This window comes from Homo sapiens, chromosome 5 (assembly GCF_000001405.40).
Source record: "Homo sapiens chromosome 5, GRCh38.p14 Primary Assembly".
In the NCBI taxonomy this organism is placed as follows: Eukaryota; Metazoa; Chordata; class Mammalia; order Primates; family Hominidae; genus Homo; species Homo sapiens.
Window position 1 is genome coordinate 17,851,460 of NC_000005.10, and position 17,120 is coordinate 17,868,579.

General features: G+C 37.2%; 1 long non-coding RNA gene across 1 annotated transcript in view; it reads left to right on the forward strand.

Moving 5' to 3' along the window:
* LINC02223 (long intergenic non-protein coding RNA 2223) overlaps nucleotides 1-17,120 on the forward strand; it is a 123,216-nt gene that overhangs the window by 44,186 nt on the left and 61,910 nt on the right. The window contains exon 4 of the long non-coding RNA NR_134286.1: nucleotides 1,147-1,247. This is a non-coding gene — a long non-coding RNA (long intergenic non-protein coding RNA 2223). The remainder of the gene's footprint in view (nucleotides 1-1,146; nucleotides 1,248-17,120) is intronic.

The following is a 17,120-nucleotide window of genomic DNA, read 5'->3' on the forward strand; positions in this document are numbered from 1 at the left end:
CTATTGTAATTTTTATGCTCTCTTTGTTCATTGAATATTAAAGATACAGCAGGTTTATGAATAATGTTTGAAAGATCTCATGTTTTTCTATGCTCTGAAGCAAAATTAAAAACCTGACCCTTTGCTAAAATTTATGAATCTCATGCCTTTGTTATGGGTCTATTCAGGATTTTGAAATATTTTGTAAAGTTGGTCATTTATATTTTCCAATAAAATAATTGTATTGGCCAGGCACAGTGGCTCACAGCTGTAATCCCAGCACTTTGGGAGGCCAAGACAGAAGGATCACTTGAGATCAGGAGCTCGAGACCAGCCTGGGCAACATAACAAGCCTCTATCTCTACAAAATTTAAAAAAAAAAATTAGCTAAGCATGGTAGCATGCAGTTGTAGTCCCAGCTATTTGGGAGGTTGAAATAGGAAGATTGCTTGAGCCCAAGAGTTTGAGGCTGTAGAAAGCTGTGATAGTGCCACTACATTTGAGCCTGGGTGGAAGGGTGAGACCCTGTCTCTAAAATAATAATAATAATAATAATAATTATTATATTTATAAGTTTATTGGTATAAAGTTATACTTTATTCCTGTATGACACTTTGACCTCAAATTTTAGCCTTTAATCTGTGTCTCTATGCTTAATTTTTTTAAATCTTATTTCTTTATTCTTGGGAATATCTGCAAGAAGTTTTTATTTTAATACTATTTTGAAAAAGGAAGCTTACTTTAATAAATTATGCTTATTTAAAGTGTTAATTTCTATTTTACTTTTATTGCTTCTGCTATCTAACTTTCTCTAAGAGAAGACTACCAGTACATGTGGATGCATAGTTTCTTGATAAAATTGATGACTCACTCTACTGAAAAACAAATAAAAAAAAATCTGAGTTCATTATGCATTTCATTCCTTAGGTAGAATATTTTAAAATTTTAGCACTTATATTTCTAAATTGTTTTTATTCTTCTTTGATTCATTTATCATAGTATCTTGCTTTTGATTTATGGATGCCATATGGTCTCAATTTCCATGGAGAATACTAACTCTCTTCTTTCTTGTATTAACTCTGTTTCATTAGAAAAATGACATTTACTGCCTTTGAGCTTCTTTTCAGAATACTGAGTATGTTCCTGTGTCACCTTATTTGCCAATAGTGCCAATTTTTAGAATGGAGGGTGTAGATCCATCCTTTGCAACTGGTGAGGACCTCCTCAGTAAGGCACTGAGCCAGGAGTCTATACAGCCATGCCAGCAGGTAAGTATGCTCACCTTCTTCTCTGGGTTACAAAGTCAATTCGCATTGCTACAGGCATATCTTTTGACCATGACAACGCTTTGTGGGTTTTTTGTTTTGTTTTTGCTTATTTTTATTTTCTTTACTAGGGAAACAGTACACACTCATACTAAAAAGGCATTCTTTTCTTGTCTGTGGTGGAATTGTCCAAGTTGTTTGGCCTGATCTCCAGGGTCGACTTTCTAAACCAACAAGTTTTTAATCCTCTGATGGCAGAATATTAGGAGTGTCTGTTTCTGGCCTGGATTTTAGTTGCTGAGGTTATAAGTATGTAGGGAAAGAATTACTGTAGAAATTAAAGTTTCCAGGGATTTTATTGCTGTGCTGAGTCATTTATCCTTCTTGTGTTTTGGGGCTGAAAGTTAGCTGGAGAACTATTTATCTTTTCTCTCTCTTCTAATGCCAGTAATCCAAGTCTACTTTGCCAAAGTCCCAATTTTCTATTGATTAAGCTAAACTTCCGCATGGTGTGAATGCTACAGTTAAATGCATTCTGTGTTTAGAAAAGGCACAGTTCTTAAAGTCACGCTGCCATCTTCCACAGGGCTTCCATATCACTTCCTCTTTCAACCCTGAGTTGTGGATTATTTTATTGAAAAAATATTATTTCTAATGTTTCAAAAAGCTTTCCTTTGCTTGAGTTCAGTTATGAGTGATATCTACTTGTCTTCATCAAGAAATTTTTTAGCTGATTTGATGGCTGATGCCTGTAATCCCAGGACTTTAGGAGGCTGAGGTGGGAGGATCACTTGAGCCCATGAGTTTGAGATCAGCCTGGGCAACACAGTGAGACCCTGTCTCTCCAAAAAAAAAAAAGAGAATGTCTTCAATTTCTTGTCCATTGATAGTACATGTCTCTGGTACAATGCCTTTCTTTCTCTTCATTTTTCTTACATGCAATTTTTGTTGGTAATTAAAATAATATTTGGGAAAGAAAAAATGTATCCAGATAAATATGTCATCAAGAAATTAGAATTTGTAATCGGGTTCATTTAACAATTAATAGTTTTCCACATGTGACTCTTCTTCCAATAATTTCTTTCTAGGGCATTCTAAACTCTCAAATGTCACCCATGCACTTTGCCACCTTTAGTGAAAGCTGTAGAGTTACAGTAGAGTTTGTTCAGAATCTGTGGCTCCTTAGTGATGGAGAGCAATTTGTTCAGCATTCTATCGAAATAGGAAGGGTTAATGGCCTTGTTTGTCCTGAGGCTTTTTTTTCAGTCTCTGAAAATGGAATTGTATGTTAATATGTAAATGAATTCTATATTTTTTGCAGCTACACAGCTCTTTACTGGAGGGGACCTCGAATACAATTTCTCTAAAAACTAATGTAGGTCTCTTCTATTATTCCGAAAAGTCTGCCTCTTTTTTTTTTTTTTTTTAACCTGTCAGGCATATTTGGTCTAACCTTCTATATCCAGGTAGGCAAGTTGTCATTTAGCTACAGTTTGCAGATGTGGCAAGTGAGGCTCATAAAATTTAAGTAATTCTCAATATACCTAGTAATAAAACGCTAGAATCTAAATTGTCTATTTCTAATTAAAGTTATGCTGCTATCTCCCACAGGGCTTCCGTATCACTTCCTCTTTCAACCCTGAGTTATGGATTATTTTGTCAAAAAACCTATTATTTCTAATGTTTAGGAAAGTTTTCCTTTGCTTGGGTTCAATTATGAATGATATCTATTTGTCATCATCAAGAAATTTTTCAGCTGAGCTGCTTCTACATCAAATGAGCTCTCTAAATTTATGAATAAAAATTAGTAAAAAATATTTTATCAAGTATCTAATCTGTGTGATATACCAATATGGCTAGGAGGGATGTGCAAAAGTGAGTATGGCATGATTCTGAAGAGTTAACAATGATCACGTTGAAGAAAGAAGCAGGGAAGATATAAAATAATATCGCTGTGCTCATTGACAGAGACAATAACCATTATAAACAACCAGAAGAACAATAGAAAGATGCACAGTAAGCACAGGTTTTTATTGTCAGAACAGCATCTTTACGATGTTATAGAACTGGAGTTGTCTCAGGCATGTTAACTTAAAAAAGTTTCCTGGAGTATCCTGGAGAATTTGATATCTCTAGAAACTGTTGCCTGTGTTGTGTCATCAAGGATGCTTCCTGGGCTCCTGGTGGCTCCTTGGCTCCAGTTATTGACCATGACATTTGGTGTCTGTCCTACTTGGCTCTGGATGTTCTTGACCCCTGGATGCCCCTGTTCACCCTTGTGACCTGGGCCTCTACCAGGTTCTGAACCTGCTGATTCCTTGCTGCTTCCTTGCTGCTTTTCAGTACTGACTTCTGCAAATTCCTGGTTTAAATTCTGCTTAGCCCAGCAGTGAGTGCCAGTGGGGACATATGTAGGCAAAGTGAATGGAGGGTTATATAACTGCCCAAACAACTCTTGCCAATTTCAGTTCAGCCAGAAGTATTCATTTTGATGTGGGTTAGGTATATAGAAAAGGAATCTCTTAATCAGACCTCTTAATTTAGTAATTCCTGGTTTCAATATTACATACAATAAAGGAGTCCTAGTTTTATTATTACCCAATGTACTGAGTAGAGACAATTAAAATATAATCTGTAACTAAGAGATCTGTTGTAGAAAAGATAACTAAAAATGGAAAATCCCAAATGTTATCATTCTGGATAGAAGGCAATCTACAATAGGGAGGTAGTTTTAAAAATATAAAATTATCCTGTTTTATTTGGATAGTTCAGGACAATGGACACATTTACTTTTATGTTATTTGAGCCTCTGGGTTAGAAGGAGATCTCCTCTCTCTCTCTCTTTCTCTTTCTCCTCCTCCTCCACCACACACCTTCTCTCTCCTTTCCTTCCTTTCTCTATTCCTCTTTTCTCTTTCTCTCTTTCTATTTCTGTCTTTCAAGCTGAGTATATCTATTATATATAAAGAGAAGTTAGAGGGACCTTGATCTCCAAGATAAACTAATTGTAATCAATGTTTTCATAGAAGTGTCTTGTGCAAAACAAGTTTACTGAAAATGGGAGAATTTTGTCTGCTTGTTTGTAAAAGATGGTTCTTGAGCACTGTTGTAGAAGAAAAGATCCTATCTCTCACTGAAGACTATTATATTATCAGTATCAATCCACCGTCAGGAACAAAAAATAAAGAGGTCAAGCTTTATGAATGTTCCAGTTGTTCTTTATATTCACTTGCACTTTGTAATTTTTTTTTTGAATTTTAGGCAATTCTCTAGGTGTATAGAGGTTATGGTTTTAGTTTGCATTTCTCTAGTCACTACCTACATTGAATACATCATTCACAATCTTGAACAACTTTCACATAATTTTCTTAGTTGCTACCCGTATCTTTTCTCTGGTGAATGTTTATTCATTCTTTAATCCAAATTTCATTTGCTATCTTCTTATTATACAATTGTAAGTCTTTATGTAATCTAGATACACATGCTTTATCAGATATGTGTTTTGTAAATATATTCCTTTGTTACAGAACCAAACCTGGTTCAACTTGCCTGGCATAGGAAAGCCAAAAATCCACACCAAGATTTTGCAGCTAGAGAAAAGAGGGCATTTATTCAGAGGGCACCAAGCAAGGAGAACTGGATAGCTCACACTTAAGACCTGACCACCCTCATGGCTTCCAAGCAAGAGTTTTTTAAGTTAGGGGTAAATTTCAGCAAAGCAGAAGTTACAGGCAAAATTGTAAATACACACAGGAGGCTATTTATTGGTTTAACCTAAAAGGGAGGGATATCTTTTAGGTAGGGCTTACAGAACATGGGTGAATTTAAAGATCCTCTGATTTGCAATTGATTAAGGAAGAAAAGCTTTGTCTAAAAACTTGGGGTCACAGAAAGGAATGTTAAGGTCTGGCATGTGGATGTGACTTCCTCCAGGCCCCTCTAAAAGAGATTTAGAACAAAGACTGTTGGTAAGAGTTCAGTCCTCAGTTCCACTTTATCTGAAGTCTATGTGCTAGCAGATGGCATTTTCCATTTGATGAGGGTCCAGTATTCTGAAAAAACAGCTCGAGGACATATGTTAAGATGTTATCTCTAGTTTTTATAGGGGACCAAACATCCCGTGACTCTAACATTTTTGGCTATGGTTTAATCTGTTATTACCTTCTTGCTTATCAGATTGTTCATTTACTTCTCAGAGCTAGCTAGGTGCCTTGAATTTCCCTTGAAGGAACTCAAGATTTTCTTTTCTTTCCACGCTTTTTGGGGATGCTGGCAGGCCCCTAAGAGGGGTTTCAACTTTGTCTCCCTTTTAGTCTGTGGTCTGTCCTTTCATTTTCTTAGCAGTGCCTTTCAAAGAACCAAAGATTTTGAGTGATTTCAATTTATATATATTTTTATAGTGGATGCTTTTCTTCTTCTAAGAGATATTTGCCTAACCTAAAGTTACAGGATTCTCTCTTCGGTTCTTGTCTAGAAGTTTTAGAAGTTTTATAGTTTCTCCCTTTAGAATTAGGCTTGTGAAATTTTTCTATCACTTTAGAAAATAATTTGGCAGATTCTGATAAGTCAAGCATATCTTTAGCATGTGATCTGTCAATCTCACTTCTAGGAATTAACTCAAAAGAAGTAAAAACATTTATCTGCATGAAGTCTTAGGCATAAATTTTTACAGTGGCTTTATTCATAATTGCCCCAAATTGTAAATAGCCGAAACATCCATTAATTGATGAATAGATAAACAAATTGTGGTATATTCATATAGTATAGTTAAAGTAAAAACTACTGATACATGTAACAACATGGGCTCAGGTCAAAAGCATTATAATGGAAAAAGCCAAACACAAAAACTACATAGTACACTATTCCATTTATTGACATTTCAGAGAAATTACAGAGACAGAAACCAGATGATCATTTATCAGGTGCTAAGGGTGAGGGAAGGGTATTGATTACAAAGTGGCTCAAATAAGCTTTTTGGAGAAATGGAAATGATCTATACTCAGGTGTGTTAGTGATTGATATGGTTTGGATCCATGTCCCTGCTCAAATCTCATGTTGAATTTTAGTCCTCAGTGTTGGAGGTGGGGCCTGGTGGGAGGTAATTGGATCATGGGAATAGTTTCTCTTGAATGGTTTAGTACCATGCCCTTGGTGCTGTTCTCATGACAGTGAATGAGTTCTCACAAAATCTGGTTGCTTAAAGGGCTGTGGCACCTCCCTCCTTACTGTCTCTTCCTCTTGCTCTGGCCATATGAGATGTGAGATGTACCTGCTCCCCCTTTGCCTTCCACCATAATTGCAACTTTCCTGAGGCTTCCTTAGAAGCCAAGCAGATACTGGCACCATACTTCCTGTACAGTCTGCAAAACTGTGAGCCAATTAAACCTCTTTTCCTTATAAATTACCCAGTCTCTGGTACTTCTTTATAGCAGTGTGAGAAAGGACTAATGCAATGGTTATGTAACATTTTATGTTCTTCAAAACACATTGACCTGTATATCTAAAAATGGTGAACTTTTCTATATGTAAATTTTACCTGAAAAAAATCTGAGTAAATAAAATTTCTTTCAAAGGGTTCAAGCTTTCACAAAAGTATTTTCAAAGAAAAATTTTGTAATCTGTTCAGAAATCTCTGCCTCCCATTTTTTTTCTATGAATGAACTAATATTTTCTAGGATGTGAGATAGCCCAACAACAAATTCCCAGCTCTCATATAGGTGCCCATAGATATTGCATAAATTTTCTCCGTTTTTATTATAAACAGTACCTATGTCAGTGCTTCCAGCTAGAAAATTCAGACACATATTAGCTTTTTGCCCTTATTCTTAAGAAGTTATCTGTCCAATTATTGCTGCCTTTACTGTCTTTGAATCATATTTATCTTCTTTTCTCTCCTTTCCTCTCACTATGTTAGTCTAGGCTTTTGTGCAATTTGAATTGAACCAGTAAATTTGATCTTTAATTGTTTTTCCTACCCATTGGCTCTAATTCTTTCAATTCATGTTGAATATGATGACCCAAAACATCTCAAAATGCAGGCTTCACCAAATTGCCTAACATATCATGATTACGCCTTCCATTTGCTTTTAAATGCTTTGGAAAATATAGCTTCAAACAAAATGTTCTCTAAAGAATAGGTACTAAAGCATTTTATTTGGTTTAGCAATTATAATACATACTTGGATGTAAAGTAAGAATTTATTTTTTCCAAAATTATCCTCCCAAATGAAAGATATGCTTGTGTCCTTACAAAGCCTTCCAAATTTGGGGGTACTCCATCTACTACTTTATTTTGGGTAGCAATATATAATTGATGAAAGGCTTTTAGTCTTTAATAATGTCAATAAAAGCTAGTTTAGATGCCCATAGCGGTCTCTTGTTGGAGTCAAATACAGATGCTAAGAAATTTAACATAGATTTAGTGAGGGATGTGGTCTCACTATTATTGCAAGATTGTACATTGTAAACAAGCCTTTACAGATGTTTAATTGATTTCCTAGGCTAAATTGCTTAAGAATATGTTTCACTATTTTATATTATAGTTTAAGTTGACCAACTTTCTCCTCCCTGCTTTTTGGATGTTCTCTCTCTCTCTCTCTGTCTCTCTCTTTCTATTTATCTATCTATCTTATCAGCCAAATCAGTTGAGAATAACATTGATATATCTACTGCTTATCTGGATTATTTTAACTATCAGTGAAAGCTTAATCTATCCACATTGTCTATATTTAGCTTCTTCAACTTCTAAAAGAAATCAACAACAGATTTTCTATAGAATTTGGTGATGATTGACAAAATTTTGGTGACTTAGTTCACATTGTTATAACAAAATGCCATAGGTTGGGCAGTTTATGAAGAACAGAAATTAATTTCTCACAATTCTGGAGGCTGGAGGTCAGACCAGGGTGCCTGCACAGGTGAAGGCCTTTTTGCAGGTGGCAGATAGCCAACTTCTCATATACTCACATGGTGGAAAGAGAGCTAGAGAGCTCTCCAGATTCTCTTTTATAAGGGCACTAATCAAATTCGTAAAGGCTCCACCCTCATGACCTAATTACATCCAAAGGTCCCATCTCCTACTAACATCACACAGGGGATTAGGATTTCAATGCATGAATTTTTAGGGGACACAAATATTCAGTTTATCACAGATAGATTTATTGGGCTCTTGACATCAAAAGTTTTGGAAAATATCTATGCTTGTACCACCTTCTCCTCTCATTAATCTGTGGGAGTACCTTCATAGAAAAATTGAAGCCTTATAGGAAATTGAATTCTTAGAAAACCTTTAGGACTTTGCATTTTTTCAATCATATCCAAACATCTATTAGAATTTGCCCTTTTCTTATAGCCATTTTTACAACATAATCAATAAAATATGTAATATTTACTGGATAGAGAAGTCAATTGATATTTAGGAGTCTTTGGCTTTAGCCATGGGTCTATGGTCACTTTCCCCTGGGCTTTGATTAGTCACCCTTCAAATGGAGAAGGCAGGTGATATGGTTTGGCTGTGTCCCCACCCAAATCTCACCTTGAATTGTAATAATCCCCACGTGTAAAGGGCGGAGCCTGGTGGAGATCACTGAATCATGAGGGAGGTTTCCCCCATATTGTTCTCGTGGTAGTGAATAAGTCTCATGAGATCTGATGGTTTTATAAATGGGAGTTCCCCTGCACAAGCTCTCTTGCCTGCTGCCATGTAAGACATGACTTTGCTCCTCATTCACCTTCTGCCATGATTGTGAGGCCTCCCTAGCCATGTAGAACTGTGAGTCAATTAAACCTCTTTTCTTTATAAATTACCCAGTCTTGGTAATTTGTGTCTTTATTAGCAGCATGAGAACAGACTAATACAGCAGGACTGGACGTTGTGCATAATCCTTTCAGGATTTAACACTGATCATATGTCATTCACAACCACAACAGATACTTACATAGATGTGATATCCTCAATATTTGCTATACTCTCCTTTCTTTTAGTTGCAAAATTAATATTTTATTATATACAGATGGCCTAAAAGATGGGTGCATATTGGATGTTAATTGTGGCTTAGAGTAGAGAAGACAGTACCAAAACTTTGATTATTTGTTCTCTCTGCTGTAGGAGTGCTTGTGAGGGGTTGAGCCTTATTCACAGTGTTAGCAAATGTTAATGCAAACAGAGGTGAGTCAGCATATCAGTGACTCATAATAACTTTCATAATTGAGATCATATTTATACATTTTTCTTGTGAGGAGAAAAACAAGTAGAGATAGAAGTGACTTTATGATTTTGTGATGATAAATACCTCAATAGGTAGTCAAACAATCAGGAGTAGATGCTACCAATTAACTTTGTGACCAGAAAAGACCTCCCTGTGGGCTTGGGGATCCTGTATTTACACTAAAAGTCTCAGCGGCCCAAGCCCGCAGAGGATCTGAGTGGCAGAGTGTGTGGACAGATGGCCTATTTTCTGCTCTGGGTTTGTGGAAGTTATTACTTTCCCTTTCATGCTTAAATATCTTACATTTATTCCCTCTCATGGCTAATATTTTCTATTTCAACTTAGATTTTCCCTCATAGAAGCATGATGGTTTTACTGCTGCAGTGAAATTATTTAGGTCTGTAAGTCAAAACTTTTCAAAATAGATGGATGATCCAGTTATCTTTCTGAGCAGTGACCATAGTTCTCAGACATAAAATCAATATTTTCAAATGAAATTGATAAAAATAAAACATAAGTGGACTGCAGAAAACCCAGACTACACCCTTTCAAATTCATCTGAGATTTGCTGTGGACCCGCCATGTATCAGGCATTTCCCTAGAATTTCAGAAAACCTAAACGTAGTGACCACCTAGGAGAAACTTCTTTCCAGATAAAGAATGTTCTGAAGAGAGTACCTCGATTGTTTACTGAGAGGTATAATTACTACAAGATTTTCTTTCCACCCAACATAGAGCTCATTTTGACATGTTGAAGGCTAGAACATATCTTATAGGGGAGGGACCTTTGTGACTTTATGTGCTTTCCCAGCTTAGATGTAAAAATATCTCCTCCCACATAAACTAACTTTTTAGCCTAACTGGTTAGCCAAGTATCATTTTATTAATTTTAGCAAAAATATCTATGGTTGTGTGTGTGCATGTGTGTGTGTGTGCATGTGTGCATGCGTGCATGCTTGCATGTGTGTGTGTTGCTCTGCTTAATAAATTGAGAAGAAATTTGTGCTTACTCTGGCATTAGTTGAGAAAGGGAATAAGTGAAAGAAGCTGAAGTTGTAAAGAGATAGAGGAGATAGGGCAGGGTTCTGGAAGTGAGAAACTCCCTGTAGCGTGAATGGCTTTAGACAAAGGGACATGAAATGCTCAATTTTATGTTTTAAGTTCTGTTAGACTTCTATGTAACACTGTACTGTTACTTTTTGAATCTTTAATAAAAGCCTATTATTTAAAACTGCTTGGTGAGAGTGGTGTTTGCCAGAAATCAAGATTAAAAGCGACTGTGGATGACTTGGGGTCAACATAGGTTTGAAGTAAGTTACAGTTGCTAGAGGAAAGGTGAAAGTGAGTTGGTAAAATCAGGAGAGGCAGGGAAGGCTCAGAGATAGAAGTATAGATAATTAGGAGAAATGTAAGCCCTGACCAACTCCTGTAGTTAGGCCTGAGTCGTTTTGCTTTGTTTCTCTGGGTTTGTGGAAGTTATGACTTTCCCTTTCATGCTTAGAGTATGTGGAGACATGGACATAGAAGTAACCACCTGGACTGAGATAGAGAAACATTCTGAAAGCAATATTTATACATTTAGAATTCCTTCTCTGAAAATCACTAAAGAAACATTATGACGTGATATCAGCAAGATGGCAGAGTAAAAGATCCCAGTCTTTGTCCCCTATAAAAAAGAATTAACTCCCCATGAATTAAAATAGCCCCGAGAGAGCTCAGCAGCCAAATTAGGACACTGTGGCAACACAGTAGAATAAAATAACAGAGACTAACTCCACAGAAAGGATAGGGAGTATGGTTTCATTCTGCCTGCATCATTCCATCCTCCATGTCAACATGGCTTATGCCAAAAAGATTCTCCTTGGCCCAGAAGTTTTCCTCATGGAGAAAAAGTATAGCAAGTGACCTACCAGCTACCCTATCTTTTCAGGTTACTTCTCTAATGACCTGCTTCAGTTTCACAGCACCCAGATTGCTGGGAAGATCAGCATGCTCAGTATATCTGGGATGTCTGGAGACAGCTAGGAACAAAGAAGAGCTGCAGGAGCTGTAAGTGTCAGTCACAACGTGGGTACCACTCTGGTCCTCAGTGGCCTGCTGCTGAGGACCTCAGTAACCCTCATGGACACCAGAGAAATCCTCACTGCTTCCGCCAATGAGAATCCTATCATGTCTGCTTCAAACACCAGAGCCACCACTACAGTAAGTGCACCTGTGCCCTGGGCCCTGGAGTCATAATTATTCCATACGAGCCCATGCTCTGTACCTTGGTTGTGCAGCCATCCTGTGAGTGTCTGTGCATCACAAACTGGCAAGACCACTGCCATCAGCATTCCTGTGTGTCAGATCTGTCACTAAGAAATATACCCTTAACCATAAACTTCCACTTATGGGAGAAATAGAGAACAGGTGAACCCCAGCAGCCTTCTCCACTGAGAGCCTCAACAACATTCACAGCTGTCATGGACATCCACAGCCTTGGCTGCTGAGGAACCCAATGGTCTTCTGACCTCAGCTGATGGAGCTAAGTAGACTATATCAGTGTGTCCAGAGCCAGAACCACTTCACCCTACTCAGCTAACACCCCTGCTCCCACTGTAGGTGAAGATCTTTCCTCACCAAAACCAATCCATAAATCCTGGAGGAGGTAAATGCTCTCCTAAATGTGCAGATATCAATGCAATAAAAACAAACAAATCAGGGAAACTTGAAACCACTGAAGGAAAACAATAATTTTCTGGTACCCAACTGCAAAGAAATGGATATATACAAATTATGTAAGCAAAGATTCAAAATAATTGTTTTAAAAAGGCTCTGTGAGCTATAAAACAAACAGGCAGACAGTCAACACAACCATATCACAACCATATCAGGAAAACAATGCATGAACAAACTTAGAAGTTCAACAGAGATAGAAATCATAAAAAAGAACCAAACAGAAATTCTACAGTTGAGTAATACAATGAATGAAGTTAAAAAATGAAACATAGAGCTTGAACATCAGACTCAATCAAGCAGAAGAATTAACCTACAAACTCAAAGATGGTTCTTTGGAAATTATCCAGTCAGAGGAGGAAAAATATAGAAACAAGAAGAGTGAAGACAGTTCTATGTGATTTTTAGGACACTGTAAAAGAAACCAATATATGCATTTTGGGAATATCAGAAGGAGAAGAGAAAGAGAGAAAGAAGAAGAAACTTCTTTAGAAAATGACTAAAAACTTCCCAAATTTGTCGGGGGAGAAATGGACATCCAGATTGAGGAAGCTGAAAGATTTCCAAACAGGGTTGATTTAGTTTGGCTGTGTCCCCACCCAAATCTCATTCTGAATTCTCATGTGTTGTGGGAGGGACCCAGCGGGAGGTAATTGAATTATGGGAGCAGATCTTTCCCATGCTGTTTTTGTGATAGTGAATAAGTCTCATGAGATCTGATGGTTTTAAAAAGAGATGTTCTCCTGCACAAGCTCTCTCTTTACCTACCACCCATCATCCATGTAAAATGTGACTTGATCCTCTTTGCCTTCCACCATGATTGTGAGGCCTCCTCAGCCATGCAGAACTGTAAGTCCATTAAACCTCTTCCTTTTGTAAATTGCCCAATCTCAGATATGTCTTTATCAGCAGTGTGAAAACAGACTAATACAGTAAATTAGTACCAGTAGAGTGGGGCACTGCTGAAAAGATACTTGCAAATGTGGAAGTGACTTTGGAACTGGGTAATAGGCAGAGGTTGGAACAGTTTGGAGGGCTCAGAAAAAGACAGGAAATTGTGGGAAAGTTTGGAACTTCCTAGAACTTGTTGAATGGCTCTGCCCAAAATGCTGATAGCGATATGGACAATAAAGTCCGGGCTGAGGTGGTCTCAGATGGAGATGAGGAACTTGTTGGGAACTGGAGTAAAGGTGACTCTTGCTGTTTTAGCAAAGAGACTGGCAACATTTTGCCCCTGCCCTAGAGATTTGTGGAACTTTGAACTAGAGAGAGATGATTTAGGGTATCTGGAAGAAGAAATTTCTAAGCAGCAAAACATTTAAGAGGTGACTTGGGTGCTGTTAAAGGCATTCTGTTTTAAAAGGGAAGCAGAGCATAAAAGTTTGAAAAATTTGCAGCCTGACAATGTGATAGAAAAGAAAATCTCATTTTCTGAGGAGAAATTCAAACTGGCTGCAGAAAGAGAATTGCGTAATTAAGGAGGAGCCAAATGTTAATCCCCAAGACAAATGGGAGAATGTCTCCAGGGCATGTCAGAGGTCTTCCTGGCAGTCTCTCCCATCATAGGCCTGGAGGCCTAGGAGGAAAAAGTGGTTTTGTGTGCCAGGCTCAGGGTCCCCATGCTGTGTGCAGCCTGGGGACGTGGTGCCCTGCATCCCAGCTGCTTCAGCCATGGCTGAAAGGGGCAAACATAGTGCTCAGGCCAGGGCTTCAGAGGGTGCAAGCCTTAAGCCTTGGCAGCTTCTGTGTGGCATCGAGCCTGAGAGTGCACAGAAGTAAAGTATTGAGGTTTGGGAACCTCCACCTAGATTTCAGAGAATGTATGGAAACACCTGGATGTCCATGCAGAAGTTTGGGGCTCTCATGGGGAACCTCTTCTAAGGCAGTGTGGAAGGGAAATGTGGGGTCACAGCCCCCACACAGAGTCTGTACTGGTGCATTGCCTAGTGGAGCTCTGAGAAGAGGGCTACTATCCTCCAGACTCTGGAACTGTAGACCCATTGACAGCTTGCACCTTGTGCCTGGAAAAGCTGTAGACACTAAATGCCAGCCTATGAAAGCAGCCAGGAGGGAGGATGTACCCTGCATAGTGAACAGGGGCAGAGCCGCCCAAGACCATGGGAACCCACCTCTTGCATCAGCATGGCCTGGATATGAGGTATGAAGTCAAATGAGATTTTGGAACTTTAAGATTTGACTGCCTTGCTGGATTTCAGACTTGCATGGGGCCTGGAACCCCCTTTGTTTTGGCCAATTTCTCCCATTTGGGATGACTGTGTTTACCCAATGCCTGTAACACCATTGTATCTAGGAAGTAACTAACTTGTTTTTGATTTTACAGGCTCATAGGTGGAAGGGACTTGCCTTGTTTCAGCTGAGACTTTGGACTGTGGACTTTTGAGTTAATGCTGAAATGAGTTAAGACTTTAGGGAAATGTTGAGAAGGCATGACTGATGTTGAAATCTGAGGACATGAGATTTGGGAGGGGCCCGGGGTGGAATGATGTGGTTTGGCTGTGTCCCCACCCAAATGTCATCTTGAATTCCCATGTATTGTGTGAAGGACCCAGTGGGAGGTAATTGAATCATGGGGGCAGGTCTTTCCTGTGCTGTTCTCATGATAGTGAATAAGTCTCACAAGATCTGATAGTTTTAAAAAGGGGAGTTTCCTTGCACAAGCTCTCTCTTTGCCTGCTTCCATCCTCACAAGATATGACTTGCTCCTTCTTGCCTTCTGCCATGATTGTGAGGCCTCTACAGCCATGTGGAACAGAAATTCATTAAAGCTCTTTTTTGGGGTAAATTACCCAGTCTTGGGTATGTCTTTATCAGCAGCATGAAAACAGACTAATACAAGGGTCAAGTCAAAGAAGACTACATATATATATATATATATATATATATATATATATATATAATTAAGTAGCCAAACTTGAGGACAAAGAGAATTTTGAAATTAGCAAGAGAAGAGAAAAAACCTAGCAAAACCATCTTTCAAAAATTAAGGAGAGATTAAGTTTTCCCCATCCAAACAATCACTGAAGGAGTTTTTTAGCATTGTACCTGCCTTACAAAAAATACTTAAGGGGATTCTTCAAATTGAAACAAAAATATGCTGAACAGCAAAGGAAAAGAATATGAAAGCATAAATTTCATTGATGAAGGCAAATATGCAGAAATATGTAGATTAATGTAACGCTGTAATGGTAGTGTGTAATTTAGTTTTAACTCTATTATAAAAGTTAAAAGATAAAAGTTTGTTTATAGATACACAATATAAAAAGAAACTGACTACAAGAATATAAATTATGTATATATGTGGGAGTAAAAGTACAGTGTTTTATATACTTAAAACAGAGAATTACAGCTACAAGCTATTTTATGCAAGCTTTGAGCTGATCACAGGAGAAAAGTCTCTAATACAGAAAGAAGAAAAAGGATGAAAGCAAATTACTAAAAAAATTATCAAATAACAAGGACATATGGCAACAGAGGAAAAGAATGAGAAAACAACCACAAAATAGAAAACAACAAGATGGCAGTACTAAGTTATCTCCTATTAATAATAACCATAAATGTAAATGGATTAAATTCACCAATCAAATGGGACAGCTTGGATGAATGAATTAAACAAAATACAATATCCAGTGATATGCCATTTACAAGAGACTCACTTTAGATTTAAAGACTTGAAGCAGCTGAAAGTAAGAGGATAAGAAAGCTATTTCACATAAATGGTAAACAAAGACAACAAAAGTGGCTATACTTACATCATAAACAATATATGTAAAGTACAAAATGATCTCTAAAGACTAATGTCATTATGAAATGATAAAAGGGTCAATTCAATAGGAAGATATAACAGTTATAAATATATAAACACTCAATATCAGAGCACTTGTATATAAAGCAAATACTGCCAAATCTGAAGATAGAAATCAACAGCAAAACAATAAAAGTAGAGGATCTCAATATCACACTTAAAATATTGAATAGAACATCCAGACAGAAAATCAATAAACAGCTGCCTTGAACAACAATATACCAAATGGACCTAACAGATATATACAGAACTTTCTACCCAACAGGAGATGGGCACTCATTCTTCTCAAATGCATGTAGAGCATTCTCTGGGATAGAACATGGGTTAGATCATAAAACAAGCCTTAACAAATTTAAGAAGATCAAAATCATGCCAAGTATCTTTTCTGAACACAGTGAAATGAAACTAGAAACCAAAAACAGCAAGAAAATAGAAACATTTACAAATACCAGGAAACTAAACAACACACTATTGAATAGCCATTGGATCAAAGAGGAAATCAAAAGGGAATTTAAAAAGTATCTTGAGATAAACAAAAATAATACAACATACCAGTAGCTATGGGATGCAACAAAAACAGTACTAACAGGAAAATTTATTGTGGTAAACCACTGCATTAATAAAGGAGAAATATCTCAGGTAAAATAATCTAACTTTATACTTCAAATAATTAGAAAAAGAAGCAAAAGCTAAGCCCGAAGTTAGGAGAAGGAAGAAAATAATAAAAATTAAAGCAGAAATAAATCAAGTAGAGAATGAGAAAACTACAGGAAAAAATCAGCAAAATCTTTTTTTTAATTTTCAATTTTTATATTTTGTAGGTACATTCTAGTTGTATATATTTATGGGATACATGAGATGTTTTGATACAGACATCCAATGTGTAACAATCACATCATGGAAGATGGGTTATCCATCCCCTCAAACATTTTTCCTTTGTGTTAAAAACAGTCCAATTATATTCTTTTAGTTATTTAAAAATGTACAATTTAATTATTATTGACTCCAGTCACCCTGTTGTGCTTTCAAATACAAGGCCTCATTCATTTCTTCTAACATTTTTTTGTACCCATTAATCATCCCCACCTCTTTGTCACCCCTCACCCACTACCATTCCCAGCCTGTGGTAAC